We start from the raw sequence: 22,718 nt of genomic DNA on the forward strand, positions 1-22,718 counted from the left end.
ATAATAAGTACTATTTAGTAAGTGATTACTGTGTGCCAGACACTATGCTAAGCCTTTTAAATTAATTACCTCCCAATTAATTACAATTACAGGAAAGAATTACCACTAGTATTATCATCCTCCTATTTAGCTGGCTAAGTTTCACACAGCCAGTGAGAAACAGAGCCAGCTCATAGCCATCATGCCACAATAACACCCAGCTGTAGAGAGGGGCACGGAGGAGGGTTTTATTCAGACACTAAGGTGGGCTTGGGAGCATAGACCAGCATCCTCTGTCCTTAATTGTGGACGTGGGAAGATCCAGTGATTTAAGCTCCAGTAAGAGGTGGCACCATTACTATACTGACATGAGGTACCTGATGGAGTTTCAGGTCTTGTTCAATGCAACACTACACAGAGATGTGTAGTTTTACTTCTATGTAAGAATTGCCAGGAAGTTCAGATGTACATAAAAAACTCATAAGAGGAATGGTCCCCACCTTATAGTGGATGAAAGTTTAAGCTCTTTTTCCAACCAGTCAGTTTGGGAGACTGGATTTTTTTGTGTTACCAGCACTAGTAACAGGTAATAACATAGGCCTGTGATTGACCTCATTTGATTGCTCAAGAGCCTCTTGACTTGTTATCTCATGACCTCTACACAATGCCTTCCTGGTGTGCAGATAAGTCAATGAGGTCACCATCCCAGAGGCAGGAGGTTTTTCATTCCACCCCTAGGCTTCTGCTGGGGGTTCTCCTCCCTGCTAATCTCTGTCCTTAGAAACCCTCCTGACTTTTCACATCCAAACCTGGTCACTCCTTCATGGTCTACCTTGGCATTTGGTCAGCAGGCTATTCATAAGCATTTTAAATAACCTCTTTTGCATGTTTTATTTCCCCCAATTAAGTCAAACCTTCTCAAGGACAAGGATTATGTCTGATTTGGTTTCCCATCCATAACACATAGTATTCTCTTCGGGCATGACAGGTTGTCAGTACGGCTTTGTTGACTGACTTTTATTTCCCAGCCTCCAACATAAGGGGAAAAAATTGCACAAGCAAAAAGGGAGGAGAACAAGCAAAAGTCTGGATGTTTGAGCCTTCAGGAAAATAATTTTCTCTGGGCATTTTTGTGTGTAAGTGTCTTGATTGTCAATCACTTTCACCCAAGTATTAAATTACTTTTGCAAACAAAGAGAACTAGGACTCATCGAAGGCCTACTGTGTGCCAGGTTACATTATTTCAACTAACCTTCACAGCCTCTGTAAACAGCAGTAATTGTTTTCTCATTGTGGGTATTGGGACTCTGGAATATTAAGTAATTTTTCCAAGGCCTTCTATCTAACAAGGGATGGGGCCTGTATTTAAAATTCAGTTTTATTCCAAAGTCTATGATTTTCCACTCAACTACACATCCCCCAGCTCTGCCCCAGGGTTCATTTACCCATCCCTTTCATTCCTTTCCTTTTTATTTGACAGGTTTATCTTCAAGTTGCATAACATGGACTCCAGGGAAGCCTGGTAATGGCCTCATGGAAAAAGGGAGCAGGGAAGTGGAAAAAAATGAAACAAATTTTCTGAGCTCCCACTGTATGCCGGGCTGTTACTAGATTCTTTATACTTGGTCATTTATTTACTCATTTTAATGACCTCATTATGCAAATATTAAACCTGAGACTCAAGAAGTCAGTCACATGACTTGTTCAGAGTCCCCCAGCAGGTAAGTGATAGTCAAAATCTAGCCCCAGGGCTGTCTAACATCAAAGCGTGAAAACGCAGTTTCCTAGAAAAACACCAAGATTTTACTCAAGTAGTGGACTAGGTTTTCAGAATTTAGGACCATGTCTCTAGAATGTTGTCAGGCCCCATAGGTAACAGGTCAGCCTAAGTGGAACAAGACTCTAAAAGCCTTGAGCTTCTGACACTGGAGATGTCAGGCACTTGTGATGTGGCCCACTAAAGCCCACGGAGGAAGCACAAGAGGTCACAGTATAAAACCAAACATCCAGCCACCCTTGAAGCTCTGAGAGCTTGTGAATGTGCTGCTCACATGTCCTGTGTAGTGACAGGGGACCCCAGTCTAGGACTCCCACTGAAGGAGCTTACGCTGTCTGTAGATTGTCTCTTAGGGAGAAATCTGTAATCTGTTATTAACCACCCTTTGGGCATGGAGCAAACTGCATCAACAATTTATGCAATATCATAAAAGAAATTATTTTTAGATCAGTGATATCATGTATACTTGCTGCTTTCTCTACTCTGCAGTCAACACCCCATATTTCCTTGGGGCCCCACCTTCCACTACTGTCAGTATGTTAACTCTCCCTGTGACTCCAGGGTTAGGCAGGTGACTGAGCCCAGCCGTTCAGAACCATATGTTCCCGATCATAGTCAAGTGTTCAGATGAGCCCAGATGAGCCTGTGACCCAATAAGGTGCACTGAGTCTTTTGCTTGGCCTGATGGTAAAGAGGCACTCTCTCTTCCATTCTAGGTTTGAACTCTGCAGGATGTTGGCCTGGGGTTGCTGATAGCCATTCTACCTCCATATGGAACTAGAAAATAAACCACCACAGAAAAAGCAGAAATGCACAATGAACTAGGTCGTGTCCCAATGACGTCGTTTGACCCCTGACTCCAGCCTGACCTGGACTTTTCAATTCCTTGAACTAATACATTCCCCCTTCTTGCTGAAGTCATGGTGAGCCTATTTTCCTGTCATTTACAACAAAAAGAGTCCTGACACAATGACTTTTCAAAAATCGTCACTCTCCCACGAACCCTTGGAGCGTCAGGGTTAATGACATTCTGATACAACTTACTGTTTCCATGTCTTTGCTTAACTATCTCTTTCTCAGTAAGGTCTTTCCTGACGACTGTATTTTAAATTGTGATTCCTTCCAGCCCAGTCAGCCTAGTCCCCATCCCTTTTTTTTTTTTGGTTGTTGGCTGTGTGTGTGTGTGTGTGTGTGTGTGTGTGTGTGTGTGTGTGTGTGTGTTGATCCTGGGTCTCACTCTGTCACCAAGCTGGCATGCAGTGGTGCAATTATAGCTCACTGTAACCTTGAACTCCTGGGCTCAAGTGATCTTCCTGCTTCAACTTTCTGAGTAGCTGGGACTACAGGCATGCACCACCATGCACAGGTAATTTTTAAATGTTTTTGTAGAGGTGGCGACTCACTATGTTGCCCTGGCTTGTTTCAAACTCCTGGGTTGGAACAATTCTCTTGCCTCAGCTTCCCAAATTGCTGGGATTACAGGCACAAACCATTGCACCCCACCCCACTGCCCTGCTTTTTCTTTTACTTATCACTATATGATATGCTACTTATTTTACTTACTTGTTTTGTTTATTATCTGTCTCCTGTAAGTAAGTCATAAGGGCAGGAATTTTTTTTTTTTTTTTTATGCAGAGACTCATTGTGTCACCCAGGCTGGAGTGCAGTGGCATGACAGAGGTCAGTGGGAGCCCCTTGCCTCACATCGGCCCCTCCCACACTGACAGAGGTCAGCGGGAGCCCCTTGCCTCACACCGGCCCCTCCCACGCTGACAGAGGTCAGCGGGAGCCCCTTGCCTCACACCGGCCCCTCCCACACTGAGAGAGGTCAGCGTGAGCCCTTGCCTCACACCGGCCCCTCCCACACTGAGAGAGGTCAGTGTGAGCCCCTTCCTCAACAGGCCACCGTGAGGGAGGAGCAGGGTCACATGCGGGCTGCTGGGAGGCAGGCAGGGACTTGGGCCTGGGAGGCCACAGTGGGGTGAGAGCTGGGCCTGGAGACGCCCCTGGGAGGCAACAGTGGGGCCTGCAGACGCTCTTCTCCAGCCGGAGCTGGGACTGTTCAAGCCTCTGGGAGGTGGGATGTGGGCCTGAAGAGCTTGGTTGCAGAAACTTCGGGGTCTACAAAGGCCGGCAGGAGCTGAGCCAAAAGAGCTTGTTTGCTGGGAGGCAGGAGCTGGGCTGGGAGATGCAGCCAGGAGGAACAGCTGGGCCTACAGAGGCCGCCATGCGGGAGGCAGAGGACGGGCCTCCTCAAGTCAGCCTCTCCAGACCCACTTGCAGCCTCCTGGCATCCTCTCCGGGCCCAGCTCTTCCTCCCGGCTGTGTCTCCAGGCCCGACTCCGGCCTCCCAACAACGTCTTTGGACTCAGCTCCTGCCCAGCTCCCAGGGGCCCTGGTAGGCCCACAACTTTCCGAAGCCAAGCTCCCCAGGCCCAGCTCAGGCCTCACGGTGGCCTCTTCAGGCTCAGCTCCTACCCTCCAATGGCATCTGCAGGCCCCAAACAGCCTCCGGTTGGTGGGCTCCTCTAGGCCCAGCTTGGGCCTCCTGGTAGCCTCTGAAGGCCCAAATCGTCCCGAAGTTGGCCTCTCCAGGACCAGCTCCAGCCTCCTGGCTGCCTCTGCAGGCCCAAGTCTTCCTCAAGTCGGCCTGGAAGTGGGCCTGGAAGAGCTGCAAGTCAGCCTCCCTGGGCCCAGCTCCGTCCTCTCGGTGGCCTCTCCAGGTGCAAAACTTCCTCGAGTCAGCCTCTCCAGGCCCAGCTCCTCCTGCCTCCCAGTGGCCTCTTTTGGCCCAGCCCAGCTCATGGCTCTCGGCGGCCTTCCCAGGCCTTGCTTTTGACTTTTGGCGGCCTCTTCAGGCCCCGAACTTGACCTCCAGTCAGCCTTTGCAGGCCTGGCCTCCTGCCTCTTGAAGGCCTGCACGGGCCCGGCCTTGGCCTCACAGCGGACTCTCCAAGCCCAGCTAGCTCTCGCCTCACTGCGGCCTCCCCGGTCCAAAGCTCCTGCCTTTCGGCCACTTCAGCAGGTCCAGCTCCTGCCTGCCAGTGGCCTCTTTAGGCCCAGCTCATTCCTCACAGCGGCCTTTCCAGGCCCCGTTTTTCCCTTCCGGCAGCCTCTTGGCCTCTAATTTGTTTATCTTTTGTGTATAAATCCCAAAATATGGAATTTTGGAATATTTCCACCATTATATAAATATTTTGGTAGGTAATTTATTTGGAGTGAGTTTCTGCACCAAGCCTGAATTTTTTATTTTATTTTCCTTATTATTTGGTGTTAAACAGGTTTAATGATGGTCATGGCAACTTTTTGGCACAATGAAAAATATCGCCCATGATCAACGTGTTCTGTTCTGGGGAAGGGGGCAAAGGCAGGGTGAATCACTTTCTTAAAAAGTACAGCTCAAGTTGGGAGTGCAGAGGGAATGGGGAGAAAACCCTCCTGCCGCCTGTGTCGAAGTGCAGGAGCCCCCACCCCCATACTCACCTGAGTCCAGCCCCTCTGGGGAAAGAAGGGGTGCATGAACTCCCCCTAGTCCACAGTCGCCTCCCTGTGGCCCAAAGCCCTCTTCACACTCCATCTTGTAGCCCCAGCAGGAACTATTTTCTGAAAAGTGAAAAGCTGTGAAGGTCCCACAATTCATGGAATGTACAGGGGCTCGGAGGAGGGAAACTGCCCAGCTTTCCCCTGGCACAGCTGCAGGGGTAGGGGGTATAGATAAGAGGAGCAGGCCTTGGCCAGGCGTGGTGGCTCATGCCTGTAATCCCAGCACTTTGGGAGGTGGAGGCAGGCAGTTCATGATGTAAGGTGATCGAACTCAGCCTGGCCAAGATGATGAAGCCCCGTCTGTACTAAAAATACAAAAATTAGCCAGACGTGGTAGCGTGCACCTGTAACCCTAGCTACCCGGAAGGCTGAGGCAGGAGAATGGCGTGAACCCGGCAGGAAGAGGTTGCAGTGAGCCAAGATCGCACCACTGCACTCCAGCCTGTGCGACAGAGCAAGACTCCGTCTCAAAAAAAAAAAAAAAAAAAAAAAGAGACAGGCCTTATTCCATCCCAAACTGAAAGGATTAAATCTCTTTACCTGGGAGAAGATAACCATCTTGCCCTCCATTGCTACCCCCACATACTGTCCATGTTCTCAGGTTGTACTGTGAGTCCTGGGATCTTCTTTGGGGTCGCCTACCTGCCTGTGGTAGTTATGGAGACCCCCAGGTGTTGAGGCAAGGCTAGGGTGTCCCCTTCCAGCCAGGCTGTCAAGGCCCCAACTCTGGGGCAGAGGCAGTGGCAGGGCAGCCAGGGTTGCGCCAGAGCCTAAGCAGGGTGAGGTGGGGTCAGGCAGGGCTGGGAGTCAGGGCAGGGGCAGCAGCAGTGGACCCGCTATGCACACACCTTCTTTTCCAAGGTTTGTGTGCAGAACATCCTGCCCTTGCTGCCCCAGCAGCTTCAGTTGGCACCTGCCCCAGTCCAGCCTCTGGGACCCATGCAGCAGCTCCCAGCGGCCCTGCAGCCACCACCAGCATCTGTTTCACCTGCAGTTGAAGATCCATGAGGTGCCCAGAAGATCATGCAGTCATCAGTCCCATGGAGCAGCCCACAAGGCTGAGGCTCCTCCCACTGGACCACCCCCCAACTGGCACCACTGCTGCCCCTGCCCCTACTCTCAGCCTCATGTGACTCTCAGGCAGAGGCAGTGGTGGGGCAGCCAGGGCAGCGTCAAGAGTCTGAGCCAGGTGAGGTGTGGTCAGGACCCCCACAGGGCTGGGAGTCAGGGCAGGGGCAGAACAAACCTTGGAGGGGAAGATGTGTACATAGTGGGCCTGGAGGGCGGCTGTGGCCTAGTGGACAGGAAGAAGAAGGGGGCCTGGAAATGCTGCATGATCAGGGCTGGCACTGGTCCAGGGCGCGTGCAGTGAAGAGGACAGCGCCTACTCGGTCTCCAGTTCCCTGAGCCTGTCCTTGGCTTCTCCAACTGTACAGGCAAAGGGGAAGCTGTCCCCATCACACATGGCACACTTGGGGGTGTTGGGCTTTGGGCTGCAGCTGGAGCATCTTCTCATCTTGCATTTGGGTGTGGTGGGGTCCTCCAGTGTGGGATCCATGTCTGTGGGGTTCCCTCTTCCCCGACCCCAAAAGCCCAGTCAGTTTCTCTTCAGGCTCTGCCCCCCAGGTGGCTCAGCCCAGCTCCTGCCTAGGAAAGCCTTAGTGTTGGGAGGGACCCTGATGACTGAGGAGCCTGGTAGCTCCAGGTCACCCACACTTTCAGGTCTCTTGCACCAGAAGGTGGAAGGATCCATTGGGAGGAAACAGGTCACCTTGGAAGGCATCCCTGGGTCCACATCCCCAGGGGTAGGGGCTGTAGGGGGCCCGCTCTGCTGCCTTGACCAGACTCCTGGGCTTTGAAGGCTCCTGGGCCCAGTAAGAAGGAGGTGGGTGCCAAGATTGAGGAGGAAGCATCCGAGTATGTGTAGGAGGAGGACAGGGTGGGACCATAGACTTTGCCAAAAGCTGCAGGTGGATCGGGGGACCCTGGGGGCTCAGGATCCAGCAAGGGGCAGCAGGAGTAAAGGAGGAAGGAATGACAGGTGCAAATACCTTCCCACTAAAGCCCTTGTTGCCCTCTGGCTCCTCCCCAGAGTTGTCCCCACTCTCAGTCGGTCACCCACTCCTTGAACTTGAGATCAGTGTCAGTGGTGCTAAAGCCATCATCAGCAATGACATCATCACACCCTATTCCTCATGGATGACCGTGTGCTCCTTGTCACTCGCTATGTCCTCACTGGCCATGTGCTGGGAATGACCAGCTCAGGTGGGCAGCAGCAGGGCTGCCCACTGGTCACCTCCCTCACCAGGGGCTGCAAAGTGGCCTGGAGCTCCATACTGAGTAGAAGGCTTTGGGCCAGAGTATGATGCAGTGCCAGATACCACCTGTGTCAGTTCCTGTAGTGCCTGATGGTCTATTTCCCTGCCATCCAGGCTGTGTACCCCCCTGTGGGAGAAGGCTTGGGCCAGGCTGAGCCAGGTTCCCTGACTGTGTGCAGCCATTCTGCCCCACAGAAGCTGCTCCTTGGTATCCGAGCTCTGGAGTGTTTGGGCTGCAACTGACAGGAGTTCAGAGGACACCCCAGGGGCAGTGGCAGTGCCAGTCTCTGACATGCTCCACTCCCACGAGCCTTTGTTACACTCCTGCTAGCCCCTGGCTTGTGGGCTTGGCCTCTGAGCTGAACTTCTTTCAGTCCTTATTGCAAGTGGGCCACCTTCACCTGGAAGGCCAGTTCATGGTATTTCTGCCTCTCATTGGGCCCCAGGGTGTACCACCACTTGCTCAGCATCTGGCTGACGGTCCAGTTATCCTGGTTGGGGTGACCCTGGTGTGCCCTGCCAGGCCTGGTGCCGCTTGCTGAAGATCATGACCGCCACTCATGGGACACCGGATGTGGTCCTTGTCCCATTTGTTGGGGCTGCGTCCATCCTTCTCAGAAGATGAGCCCTGTTCCTTGTGCAGGGCACTGAGGAACTGGGCCTGACATCATCTGAGTGGTAGAGGCAACTGGGTGTCAGGAGACATGATGGAGAGGAAAGCATCATCATGGTCATTCTCTGTCTCACTGTCCAGCAGGGACTCCCCTGAGGGGCCCAGGGCTCCTCCTCCATGGTGGGAGATGAGCTTTTACCAGGTTCCACCACCCCCAAAGTGTGTGGGGTTGCGGGCCCTGGGCTTTCAGGGCAGGTGGCTCCAGGGGGCCGCCCAGGGTCAACACTCCCTGTCCCACCTGGTGGATGCTCGTGAGCAACAGCTGCCAACTTGGCAGGTTGTTTTCTCTGGTTGGAGGCCACTGAGTGACTGGCAGGTTGCTGGGCCTCGTGTGGCTGCAGGGAGGGTTCAGGAAGGGGATGGAGTACCAGGGGAACATGGCCACAGAATGACCTTCCACATTGCTCCACACGAACATGCTGACGCCACGGGAGGCCTCACTGAACGCAGGCCTGGGGGCTGAGTACTTGGTCTGGGCACAGGGTTCCTGGCAGGGGCCCACACCTCCTTGCCCCCTCCTCAGCCAAGGTGGCTTGGGCCCAGAGAAGGGGGGGTTGGAGAGGAGCAGAAGGACAGACCTCAAGTTTTGTTTTTTTGTTTGTTTTGTTTTTTGTTTTTGAAATGTAGTTTGACTCTTGTCACCCAGGCTGGAGTGCAGTGGCACGATCTCAGTGGCCTTCATACCTGGCGATTTGTTGTATTTTTACTGGAGGTGGGGTTTTGCCATGTTGGCCAGGCTGGTCTTGACCTCCTGACCTCGGGTGATCCACCCACCTCGGCCTCCCAAAATGGGATTACAGGCATGAGCCACCGCTCCTAACTTCATTCATTTTTACTTGAAAAACTCCGTTAAGCATTTTTTTTAAGGTAGACCTAGTGGTCCTGAATGCCCTCAGCTTTGTTTGTCGAGGAAACATGTTATTTCTTCTTTCTATCTGAAGGACAGCTTTGTCAGACATAGTATTAGTTGCTGGCAGTTTTTTTCTTTCAGCACTTTGAATGTATTATTCGATTCTGTCCTGACCTGCAAAGTTTCTTTAACTTTTGACTATTTGATTATATTGTGACTTGGTGAGTATCTATTTGGTTTGAACCTCTTTAGGAATCTTTAAGCTTCATGGGTTTAGATGTCTAAATCTTTCCTATGATTTAGGCAGTTTTCAGCCATTCTTTAAATAAGCTTTCTTGTCCTTTCTCTACTTTCCTTCTCAAACTCCCATAACCTGACAATGGTTTGCCTAATGGTGTCTTGTGGGCTTTCTTTTCTCTGTCTCTTTTATTTTCTTTTTTCTTTTTTCTTTTTTTTTTTTTTTGAGACAGAGTCTTGCTCTGTCACCCAGGCTGGAGTGCAATGTGTGGTCTTGGCTCACATTGCACTCCAACCTCTGCCTCCTGGGTTCAAGCGATTCTCCTGACTCAGCCTCCCAAGTAGCTGGGACTACAGGTATGTGCCACCACACACGGCTTATTTTTGTATTTTTAGTAGAGATGGGGTTTTGTCATGTTGGCCAGGCTGGTCTTGAACTCCTGACCTCTTAATCTGCCTGCCTTGGCCTACCAAAGTGTTGGGATTACAGGCTTGAGCCACCATGCCCAGCCTTCTTTTCTCTTTTTTATTCTTTTTTTCTTTATCCTCTGACTGGATAATTTCAGAAGATCTATATTCAAGTTTACAGATTCTCTCTCCTGTTGAAGTTTACTATTGTGTTATATCACCCAGTCTGGTCCTGAACTCCTGGGCTCAAGCGATCCTCCCACCTTGGCCTCCCAAAGTGCTGAGTTTACAAGCATGAGCCACTGCATCCAGTCAGTCCCAGCACTTTGGGAAGCTGAGGTGGGAGGATCACTTGAGCTCAGGAGTTTGAGACCAGCCTGGACAATATACTGAGAACTTGTCTCTATATTAAAAAAGAAAAAAAGTCTTTGGGAGGCCAAAGTGGGAGGATCACCTGAGGTCAGGAGTTCAAGACCAGACTGGCCAACATGGCAAAACCCCATTTCTACTAAAAATACAAAAATTAGCCAGGTGTGGTGGCACACGCCTGTAGTGGTGGTGCATGCCTGTAGTCCCAGCTACTCAAGAGGCTGAGGCAGGAGAATCACTTGAACTGGGAGATGGGGGTTGCAGTGAGCTGAGATCGCACCAGTGCACTCCAGCCTGGGCAACAGAGTGAGACTCCATCTTATAAAAGGAAAAAAGAAAGAAAAGAAAAATTCCATATCTGAGTGTTTACTCCTGAGTTTTTGAGATTATTAGTAAGATCATGCTCTACTGTGATGATTTGGGTTTGTTTGATAATCAGAAAAAAGCATATTCTTTTGGGTGTTCAGCCACACTGCTTTGGTGTCACAACTGCACATTGGTTTCACAGCTGCAGGACAAGTTCGAGCATCTTAAAATGATTCAGCAGGAGGAGATAAGGAAGCTCGAGGAAGAGAAAAAACAACTGGAAGGAGAAATCATAGATTTTTATAAAATGAAAGCTGCCTCTGAAGCACTGCAGACTCAGCTGAGCACTGATACAAAGAAAGACAAACATCGTAAGAAACAATAATTTCTCTTACTATTCTGAAAGCCTTATCATTCTGCATCCCATCTTCCTGTGAGATTGTCTTTGTAGCATTTAACTCTAATTGCAGTTCTCATTTTAAAAATTGGCTTGCTTATTGTATATTTTCCCCAACTAAAGTGTGAACTCCTAGCAGGGCGTGGTGGCTCATGCCTGTAATCTCAGCACTGTGGGAGGCCGAGGTGGGTCGACTACCTGAGGTTAGGAGTTCGAGACCAGCCTGACCAACATGATGAAACGCTGTCTCTACTAAAAATACAAAAATTAGCTAGGCGTGGTGGCTGGGACCTGTAATCCCAGCTACTTGGGAGGCTGAGGCAGGAGAATCACTTGAACCCTGGAGGTGGAGGTTGCAGTGAGCAGAGAGCTCACCATTACACTCCAGCCTGGGTGACAAGAGCAAAACTCCATCTCAAAAAAAAAAAAAAAAAAAAAAAAAAAGAAAGGGTGAACTTGAAGGCAGGTCCTGTGTCCATGTTTTCAGATTCTGTATCCCAGCACTTAGGACATAGACAAACACGAAGATGACAATCAATATTTGCCAAAATGAAAAAAACAAAAGAAACATGTAACATCATGTAAAAGAAGCTGGTTAGGTGGAGAAATTTCTTTACCATAGTCTTGCTTGTGGATCCAGTAGTGACTTTTACGTTTTATATCTAAATAGAAGCTGGAGGCTTTGTTGGGGACTCATAGGCATAAAATATTATTTATTATAGAGTTAAATGCTACAAAGACAAATCTAATTAATAGGCCTATTTTCCTTTTTAAATTCTACTCATAATTTCTTCATAGTTTTTATGATAAAAGGTTGGATTTTGATTAGAACTCCCATGCTATTGTGTCAGAATTAAAACTGATATTAGAATAAATAATTCAAAAGCTAGAGAAAGAGTACAATGAGAAGCCATGAGTTGCATTTGAATTATAATATTATGTCTTACAGATTTGGGGTATATGCTAAAGTTACCAAAGTTGTAGAAAATAAGGCCAGGCATTGTGGCTCACATCTGTAATTCCAGCACTTTAGGAGGTCGAGGTGGGCGGATCATTTGAGGTCAGGAGTTCGAGACCAGCCTGGCCAACATGGTGAAACTCCGTCTGTACTAATAGTACAAAAATTAGCCAGGCGTGATGGTGTGCACCTGTAGTCCTTGCTACTCAGAAAGCTGAGGCAGGAGAATCGCTTGTACCCAGGAGGCAGAAGTTGCAGTGAGCAGAGATTGTGCCACTGCACTCCAGCCTGGGTGACAGACTGCTATGAGTCACCACATCTGGTATGAGCCACCGTGCCTGGCCCACAATGACTTTTACACATGTTGTTAAATCATCTTACAGATTTTATAATTTGGGGGAAGAAAAGTTTTACTAAATGGTCTTTTAATGGAAACTCTACAAGAACCAGAATCTTTGCTTTGTTCACTTATGTATCCATTCCTAGGCCTAGAAAAATGTCTGACACATAGCAGCAATTATTCATTGAATAAATGGACCCAGTGATAGTACATTAGCTATGCTATATGCATACATTAAAGATGTAGATTATCGACTTTCAAAAGATAATTAATGTAACTTCTTACTGCTTCTGAACATGTTTGTGGGTTATATTGCTGAGGGACCTTTAACTTCTCATTCTTTCATCTTAACCCAGTGTTATAAAATTGAAATCACCAATATTATTCCATATCTAAAATTAATATCTACCTTGTAAAAAAATCACTCTGCTGCATTTGAGAATAGACTTTTTAGGTAATAATGATGCAATCCATAGGGTTTTTTGGGGTCACAGAGGGATTCATGCTAACAGAACATTTTATTTTCTATTTTCCCAGAGCTGTAAAACATGAAATTATGGTAGTATAAGGCATATTTTTACTCTTTTTATAATTTTTTCTAAAAAAAATTAGTGTTTGTTCCCTATATAACTTTTAACTTTATAGGTAAATATTTGTCTCTTTCAGCTCCAGTTTTATGTGAAATAGAGTTTTCAGTTTTATGTAGCATGGAAAGTTTTAATACATCAGAGTTACTGATTTTTGCCAATCATTTTCTCAATTATTTCTTTTTTATCTTTAGTTGATTTTTTTGTAGTGACACATTTTGTTTCTAGTCTCATTTCCTTTTGTTTATATTCTATGTATATTTCATTTTTGGTTACTATGAGAATTACATCCTAGAGTTATAACATTTTAATTTGAATTTATTTCAACTTAAGTTCAATCGCATTCCAAAATTCGACTGCTATATATATAGCTCTACTCTTTTTATGTTATTGATGTAACAAATTATATCTTTATTCATTGTATACCAGCTAACAGATTTACAATTACATTTTATGCATTTGCCTTTTAAATTATGTAGAAAATAAAAAGCAGAGTTGCAAACCAAAATAACAATAGGACTGTTTTTATGTTTGTTTATGTATTTACCTTTACCAGAGAGCTTTGTATATTCACACAGCTTGCTTATTTACTTATATAGTTATTGCCTAGAGTTCATTTATTTCAACCTGAAGGACTTAACACTTCTTGAATGGCAAATTCAGGGATAAATGGATTTTTTTCAGTTTAAAAAAAAAATCCGGAAATGTCTTAATTTCTCCTTCATTTTTGAAGGATAAGTTTTCCAGCTATAGATTTCTCAATTGACAGGTTTCTTCATTATTTTAAATATATAATCCACTGCCTACTGGCCTTCAAGGTTTCTGCTGAGAAATCAGCTGCTAATGTTATCTGGATCCCTATCTGTGACAGTTGCTCTTCTCTCTGAGTTTTCAACATTCTCCCATTATCTTTTTTTTTGTTTGTTTTTGAGACAAATAATTGTACATATTCATGGGATACAGAGTGATATTTTGATACATGTATACAATGTCCAATGATCAAATAAGGATAATTAGCATATCCATCACCTCAAATATTTGTCATTTATTTGTATTGTGAACAGTCAACATTCTTTCTTCTAGTTTTTTAAATTTATAAACATTTAAATTTTATTACAGAAATTTAATTTTTTTGATTCTGAAAAAGTCATATATGTATGCAACATCTTTTTATCATTTATTTATATATTTATGCATCTTTCCTTTTAGTTTTGACAGAGATTTTCTATTTTATCATTATTTCAAAAGAACTCTTACCTGTATTTATCAATTATATTTCCCTTGTTTTTTCCTAGTATATTAATTTATTTACTTATCTTCTAAAAATCCTCCATATAATCTGTTTATTTTGTTTCCTTTCTATAATTTCTTCCATGATTAGTTCTGTTCTATTTTCCATTAAAATATTTAACTCTTGTATGAATTTTTGTCAGGTTAGAAATTTAGGGCATTTCTTAATTTCTCTATATTCTAGCTTTTGACTTTTTTTTTTCTGACCTAAGAAGTATTTAGAGCACATTTTAGATTTTTTATTTTGACTAATCATTTAAAATGTATACTAATCTTCAATTTAAATAAAAAACTGGTCTATAGTGACAAAAATTACAAATGAGCCTAACTAATAAATTATCAGCTGTGTTTATATGTATAGGCATGCACAGATTTTGGTAAATATGTACCTAGTATATTGGTGAGCTTATTTTTATCATTCTTAACTCATTGTGTAGTATAAACATTGGGGAAAAAATAAAATACAATAATCAGATGGTGTGAATAAGAAAATTGTTCTAATGTTTGTAAATGAAGCAACTGTTTTAACTGCTCCTCTCTTCCTGATTGACTTCTAAAAGGGATTAATCCATATTGGGTCCTATCATATATGTCACGGTATAACATCTCCAGCTATAAAATGGAAATTTAAGAATAACTTTGCTGCTACTCAGATACATTTTATTTCAAAAACATACACTAAGATGTTGCTATTGGATCTTTCCAAAAACATATTCACACAGAACTTTCAATCACACTGAGCCATATTTGAACAATCTTTCAAGGTCAGCTCCGGCATAAGCTAACATTATACCATTTAACTCAGAAATTTCTTTAGTATTTGATTAATGGGTTTATGTTTGATATGTAATGTAATTTTCTAATGCTAAATCAAGTGGTAATTTTGTTAGTCAAGTTGATTTAGTGGCTTGGGAAGAAAGCTTTTAATGTTCCCCTAATTTTTCTTACCTTTGACATGATCCTTCACATGTCTTATTTTGCTTAGTAATTTTTCTTTTTTTTTTTTTTTTTTTGAGACAGGGTCTTACTCTACCACCCAGGCTTGAGTGCAGTGGTGCGATCACAGCTCATTGCAGCCTTGACCTCCCAGACTCAAGCTATTCTTCAACCTAGCCTCCCAAGTAGCTGGTACTACAGGCACATGCCACCAAATTTGGCTAATTTTTGTATTTTTTGTAGAGACAGAGTTTTGCCAAATTCTCAGGCTGGTCTGGAATTTCTGGGCTCAAGTAATCCTGCCTTGGCCTCCCAACATGCTGATATTACAGACATAAGCCACAGTACCTGGCCAGTTTTCTTTTTTAAAAAATCTATTGGTTATTAATTTGAAGCCTTCCTTTTCATAGCTGTGCTCCTTAATTGGGAGCAAACATGAATGGACCACAACTTAGCCAATTTTCTATATACGATCTTTGCAATCCTAATTTAAAGGAATATTAATTCTTTCTTTTCCTCTTTCATTCCACAAACCTGTATTGACTACATCTAAGTTCTAAATGGTGCACTGGATGTTGAAAAAGTTGATGATGAGCAAGAACAAAATTCCTCCTTTCAGGAGACTTACAGTTCAATATGGGAAAATAATTTGTTAAAATATAAAAGTGCAATTGTGTTACATGCTGTACGAAGTACATGATGACATGTGAGCATGTAATAAATGGGCTGGAGGCCAGAGTATTGCCAAAGAGAATGGGCCTCCTGCTGAGATGAAAAGTTGAGCAGGGATTAGTTGGCGAAAGTGGAGGGACGATCCTTTCTAGGCAGGAGGAAGAACATGTACAGAATCTCTGAGGTGTGATGCAACAAAGTCTATATAAAAAACTGAAGAAAGGTCTAATGTGGCTTAAATACAGAAGCTAGTAGGAGAGGAGTTGAAAAGAGGCTGGAGAAGTAGAAAGTGTCTCCATTCTGCAGGAACTTATATTGTATAAAAAGAATTTCTCTTTATTCTAAGTGCAATGTGAAGCCAATGAAGTGCTTTAAACAGGTGATGTGATTTGATTGAATTTATTACTTCACTTAACAAATATTCATTACATGCCCACTGTTTGTCAGATATTGCTGTAGCCCCTGGTGATACAGTAGGGAATAAAACAGGCAAAAATCCCTGTCCTCTTGCAGCTTATAATGGACTGCAATGTTTAATATGTCAGAGGAGGTCCACGGAGGAGTGACTTCTAAGCAAGAATCTGAAAAAAATGAGGATATCTAAGGAGGGAACAAATGGTTCAAAAGCCCTATAATTGCGAGCAGGCATGATGAAGCAATTGTAGTTGTCCTGACTCTCAACACCGTGGAACTCAAAGGAGATGGAAATATTCTTTCTCTACCTCATGTATTTTCTCTCTTTCTGTCTATATATATAGAATATGAGACATTTCCCTAATCATTAGGTGTAATTACAATTACATATATATGTATGTATGTCATAAATATATAAATAACATACATATATATGTAATTGTAATTACACCTAATGATTAGGGAAATGCTCATATTCTTCTACTCAGAAATAAGCAATATAGCAATTACTGTTTTTTACATTTTACAGTTATGGTTTCAGAGAAAGTTTGATATTTATCTAAAATTTTTCAAGGTATGAACTTTTTCACTTGACAAACCATAATTGTACATATTCTTGGGATACAGAGTGATATTTCTTTACATGTATAGAATGTGTAGTGATCAAATCAGGGTAATTTCCACTAATTTAAAATGCCACCTTTATGTTATTGTAATTTATATATATAATATATATACACACACACACATATATATACATGTCCACATACAGTGTGTGTGTGCACATGTACACACATGCATATGTGTATATAATGCCCAGTATAAGCAATGTGCACAAATAAAATTAGCTAACAGAGATAGTATAGAGTGAAAGGAGAGGCAGATTAATCTTTGAGGAAAAGCACAATTTTATGGCTGAATGGAGAAAGCTGAGGTGGTTTCTAAGATGGAGAATAAGATGAAAAATGTAAGTACATTGTTTGACTGAATTCAAGAAAGAAGGGTAAAAGAGAAGAAAGTAGTGGTCTTATCATTAAATGCCACAGAGAGGTAAAGATAAAAACAACATATTGTTTTGGGTTTAGTAATTTAAAGGTTACCAAATTCCGTTTTGGAGGAGGAACAGATTCCATGTCCACTAGAATGGAATGAACAAGAAATGGAGGAGGAAAATAGGTAGTTTTACAAAAGTTTTCAAAAATATGAAAAGAAGAAATGAAATGGTACTTGGAAGAGATTGTTGAAATGGGAGAGACTATGGTGGCTTGTTTAGAAGCAGTTGAGATAGATCCAATTGAGATAGAGATATTGACTATATAAACAAAAGAATGACAAATTAATAGTGTAATGGATAACTTGACTTTGGCAAATATTGTGAATTTTTGTGAAAGTACAACTAAAAGGCAATGTCACTCCAATAATCACCAGAGTAATCAATTTGCTTATTGCTGACCCTTTAAATATAGTTCTCTGGTATCAACTAACATATTTTTAACTAACGATGCTTCTTAAAGAAAAGGGAAAAGACCTTTTTCTTTCTTTCAGTCTTCAATGATTCACTGCTTCATCTCGCTCCACCAAAGATAAATGAAATCTACATCTCTTATACATTAACAATGTATGACAATTTATAAATAGCTAAATTTTTGGAGCTAACTTTAAGTACCTGATGGAATTTAATCAACCCACTAATCTCCTTCTCACTTCTCAGTTATTTATCAAGTTTATGTCAAGGGAAAAGGAAAAATTATCCAAACATTGTTTAAAACAATCATCATTAATTAGTAACACTTATCCAGGGGGGGTTTTAACCCTTCCCCCACTCAAGAATTATTCTAATGTCAGAGTAGAATAAAAAATAAGTGCAGCGTTGCTGACTCTTCCAAGCTTAACATTTCTCACAAATCAATTAGCTTTGTACTGGGAGGAGGGCATGAAGGGCTGCTTGCGGTAGTTGTCTAGCAGCAGCACAATGGCCGCAGACAAGGAAAACAGTTTCTAGGAATTCCTCGTATATAATTTTATATTTTTGACAAGATTAATGACCCATGCTGTCTTCCTCTCCATTTCGTTTTTTTGGAATTCTGTGTTGGTATGTAGTTACTATATTTTATTAAAGGAAATTAGCCTTATCTCTTATTATATTTTATTAAAGAAAATTATTATATTATTCCTTTGTATTTTTATTAAAGGAATTTATTATTATTATTATTAAAGGAAATTAGCCTTATATCTTATTATATTTTTTATGACCTTCAAAATAGTGTCTCTGCTTAAAAGTGTACCCTGGCGGGGCGTGGTCGCTCACGCCCGTAATTCCAGCACTTTGGGAGGCTGAGGTGGGTGGATCACGAGATCAGGAGATAGAGACCATCCTGGCTAACAGGGTGAAACCCCGTCTGTACTAAAAATACAAAAAATTAGCAGGGCATAGTGGTGGGCACCTGTAGTCCCAGCTACTCAGGAGGCTGAGGCAGGAGAATGGCATGAACCCGGGAGACGGAGCTTGCGGTGAGCTGAGATCGCACTGCTGCACTCCAGCCTGGGTGACAGAACAAGACTCCGTCTCAAAAAAAAAAAAAAAAAAAAAAAAAAAAGTGTACCCTGAAGCACATATCAAGCGACATGTAGAGTTCATAAATTCTGGCCAAATGGTCATACCTCAAACCTAATCAGCACTAAGGCTCTTTACTTGCACTGACAAACATGAACGCTGGGGAATTTGGAAATGATATATAATATATAATATTATATATAATATATATATAATATTTAATAACTTTCCATGTGATTTTCCTCTTAATTTTTTTTCTAGCTGATCCATATGAATTCCTCTTATTAAGAAAAATAAAGCATCCAGGATTCAATGAAGAACTGACTATCACCTTGTTAATCATTCAGAAACATGTTGCAGGCTTAAGCCATTTTTGATATAGATACTGAAACAATTACTTGCTAAGAGCAAACTTGAAGGTATGGATAAGGCCCTGAGTCATCATCTTGAACTGAATGATAGTTAAGCTGAATGTAAGTATAAAATATGATTTTCTAACCACTTGCTCGCCAACAAGGAAAACTTTTAAGTAGAGCAGAACCTGAATAGACAAGACATTTCTTTCTTTTGGTAGAAAATGATTTACCATCACTGTCTAGTTAATTGTAGACTAGGTAATTTTAACTTTGTGATTTATTGCCGGAGACATTTTCTTCTGTACTGTAAAGTGTGTGTCAGAAAAAATTAGCGATTTTGGAGGATTAGGGGACTTTGATAAATTGCCTGCAATTCTGGCAGTATGAACTGCATATTAATTTCTCTCTTTCAAGAACATTTTTATTTATTAATTCCTTACAAATACTCCCTAAACTTTGGAACAGCTCTCAATTGCCTGTATTCTTTTTTTTTTCTTATTATGGTACTCTTCTAGAGATTTGGCTTGCGTCTATGAATAAGCCAGGACATCTTCAGAAATTGTCTGATTAAAAACACCACCAATGGAGTTTCATTAAATTTGTATTGCTCTGACTAGGGAAACACACACATCTATGTTGCTTAGGATATTTTACTGCAGTTTGAGTTGTAATAATAGCTCTGTTTAAGATCCGTCAGTCACTTGAATCTTCTCTAAGGCTTTGTATGTTAGAAGTTAATTTGCTTTCTTACAAGGCCACATTCTATCTTGTAACTAAACAACTGAATTTTATGTCTTAGCATAGATGGTTTATTACTTTCTCGTTTTTCTTTAGTAAGAATCCTATAAAAACACTAGTATTTTTCTCTGAGTTTAAAATTCAACACTTGCCTACTGATATGGTTAGGCTTTGTATCCCCACCTGAATCTCATCTTGAATTGTAATCCCCATAGCCCCCATAATCCCCACATGTCAAGGGAGAGACCAGGTGGAGGTAATTGAATCATGGGGGCAGTTTCCCCTGTGCTGTTCTTGTGATAGTGAGTTCTCACGAGATTTGATGATTTTATAAGGGATTCTTTCCCCTTTGCTCAGCACTTCTTCATGCTGCCTTGCAAAGAAGCTACCTTGCTTCCTCTTTGTCTTCCGCCATGATTGTGGATTTCCTGAGGCCTCCCAAGCTGTACTGAACTGTGAGCCAATTAAACTTCTTTCCTTTATAAATTACCCAGTCTTGGGCAGTTCTTTATAGCAGTATGAAAACAGACAAATACACCTACTATGTAAAACTTAAAATACAAAAAAAAAACATTATCTCACTAACATAGGAGCTAATATTTTGGTGTACTTTGTTTAGTATTTTATATTAAAAATATGTACATATATATTTATATATAATTAAGAACATGTATGTACAATCATGCATACATCATGTACATACATCTACTTAAGAAAATAGCTATGTAATATACCATTACTCAACTAGATTATAATTTTTTCTCCATTTCTTTATTGTATGTTATTTATCATTTTCTACTTTTTTGTTTTCTCATTTTTATTGCATAATATTTAATTATGCAAAAAATACATTAAATACATAGAAAATACATAATGTAGCTATAAGAATAAAGAACGATGGTAAAACAAATGCTAATACCCACTACCTGACTTAAAGAATATGATACTATTTTTTTCCAATTGAAATCCCCTCAACTACTCAGAATTACTGCTATCCCTTTTATCCTTTCATTAATTTTCTTCTAGTTTTCTCACATGTGAATCTATTTCTAAATACATTTCTTTATTTTGCAAGTTTTTGGACTTCATATAAATGTAACCATATTGTATATATTCTTCTTCAGCTTCTTACTTTTTCACTAAACAATATGTTTTGCTGATACTTACATTCATATGTACAGTAATAGTTGATTTATTTTAATGGCTATATACTATTCCATTGTTAGAATACACCAGGATTTATTTTTACTTATTTTTTTTTTGCTGGTAAATTGGGTGTCTTTTTTATTTTTTGATATAACAAACAATGTTGTAATCATTTTGTATTTACTTCCTAGTCCACTCCTGTAAGTTTCTCTTGAGTACATATTAGCAATGAAGATGCTGAGTCACTGCGTATACATACTCACAACTTTATTCTATAATGCAATATTCTATAAATTAGCTGTATCAGTTTATACTTTAACCAGTAATGGACAAGATTTTCTGTTACTTCCCATCTTTGTTAAATATTACTTTTAGACTCTAACTTTTATCAGGCTCATGGATGTAAAAAGCATCTCAGGGTGGTTTTAATTTGCATTTATCTGCTCATCTATGAAGATGAGCTTCTTTTCATATAATTATGAGTCATAATTTTTGTTTTGCCTTCTTTTGTTTATGCATTTTGCTTGTTCTATGTCTTATTTTTCCTGTTGATTTTTGGGAGTTCATATATATTCTAAATGTATATTTATTCACTCATATATATGTTGCAAATATTACAGTTTATGATTTGTCACCTTATGATATCATCCAAATAGAGAAGCTTTATATTTTGATGTAGTCATATGTTCATTTTTCCTCCTTAATGTTTGTTTTTCTTGGTTCTATGACCTACCAAAAGTAACAAAAATTCTCATTTATTTTTAATCTAAATGTTTTAAGTATTTTCCTGGAATTCACCTTGAATTGATTTCTATTGGAGACAGTTATCCAATCTAATTTGCCTCATATGGATAACCACTTGTTCTATTACTGCTGTAACAAATTTCTACAAACTAAGTGACCTAAAATAACACAAACTTATCATCTTACAGTGTACACAAGTCAGAAATCAGGCATGCATTTTAGTGAACTAAAATCAAGTTGTCGACAGGCATGTTTCTTTATGGCGGCTAGGGTAGAATCCATATCCTGTCCTTTTCTATCTTCTAGAGAACATCAGCATTCCCTTTCTCATTGCCTCTCCTCTCTCTTTTTAAAGCTGGCAATGTCACATTTCTCTGACCATTCTTTTTTATTTATTTATTTATTTATTTATTTATTTATTTATTTATTTTTATCATTATACTTTAAGTTTTAGGGTACATGTGCACATTGTGCAGGTTAGTTACATATGCATACATGTGCCATGCTGGTGCGCTGCACCCACTAACTCGTCATCTAGCATTAGGTATATCTCCCAATGCTATCCCTCCCCGCTGCCCCCACCCCTCCACCGTTCCCAGACTGTGATATTCCCCTTCCTGTGTCCATGTGATCTCATTGTTCAATTCCCACCTATGAGTGAGAATATGCGGTGTTTGGTTTTTTGTTCTTGCGATAGTTTACTGAGAATGATGCTTTCCAATTTCATCCATGTCCCTACAAAGGACATGAACTCATCATTTTTTATGCTTGCATAGTATTCCATGGTGTATATGTGTCACATTTTCTTAATCCAGTCTATCATTGTTGGACATTTGGGTTGGTTCCAAGTCTTTGCTATCGTGAATAATGCTGCAATAAACATACGTGTGCATGTGTCTTTATAGCAGCATGATTTATAGTCCTTTGGGTATATACCCAGTAATGGGATGGCTGGGTCAAATGGTATTTCTAGTTCTAGATCCCTGAGGAATCGCCACACTGACTTCCACAGTGGTTGAACCAGTTTACAGTCCCACCAACAGTGTAAAAGTGTTCCTATTTCTCCACATCCTCTCCAGCACCTGTTGTTTCCTGACTTTTTCATGATTGCCATTCTAACTGGTGT

The 22,718-nt window shown here is 41.9% G+C and overlaps 4 pseudogenes; 2 read left to right on the top strand and 2 right to left on the bottom strand.

Moving 5' to 3' along the window:
- LINC00265-2P (long intergenic non-protein coding RNA 265-2, pseudogene) lies at positions 3,448-4,968 on the top strand (annotated as a pseudogene).
- Positions 4,927-8,419, bottom strand: CICP2 (capicua transcriptional repressor pseudogene 2; annotated as a pseudogene).
- On the top strand, positions 6,139-19,077 carry LINC00266-2P (long intergenic non-protein coding RNA 266-2, pseudogene; annotated as a pseudogene).
- SEPTIN14P22 (septin 14 pseudogene 22) lies at positions 10,661-13,250 on the bottom strand (annotated as a pseudogene).

Source organism: Homo sapiens, chromosome Y (genome assembly GCF_000001405.40).
Source record: "Homo sapiens chromosome Y, GRCh38.p14 Primary Assembly".
NCBI lineage: Eukaryota > Metazoa > Chordata > Mammalia > Primates > Hominidae > Homo > Homo sapiens.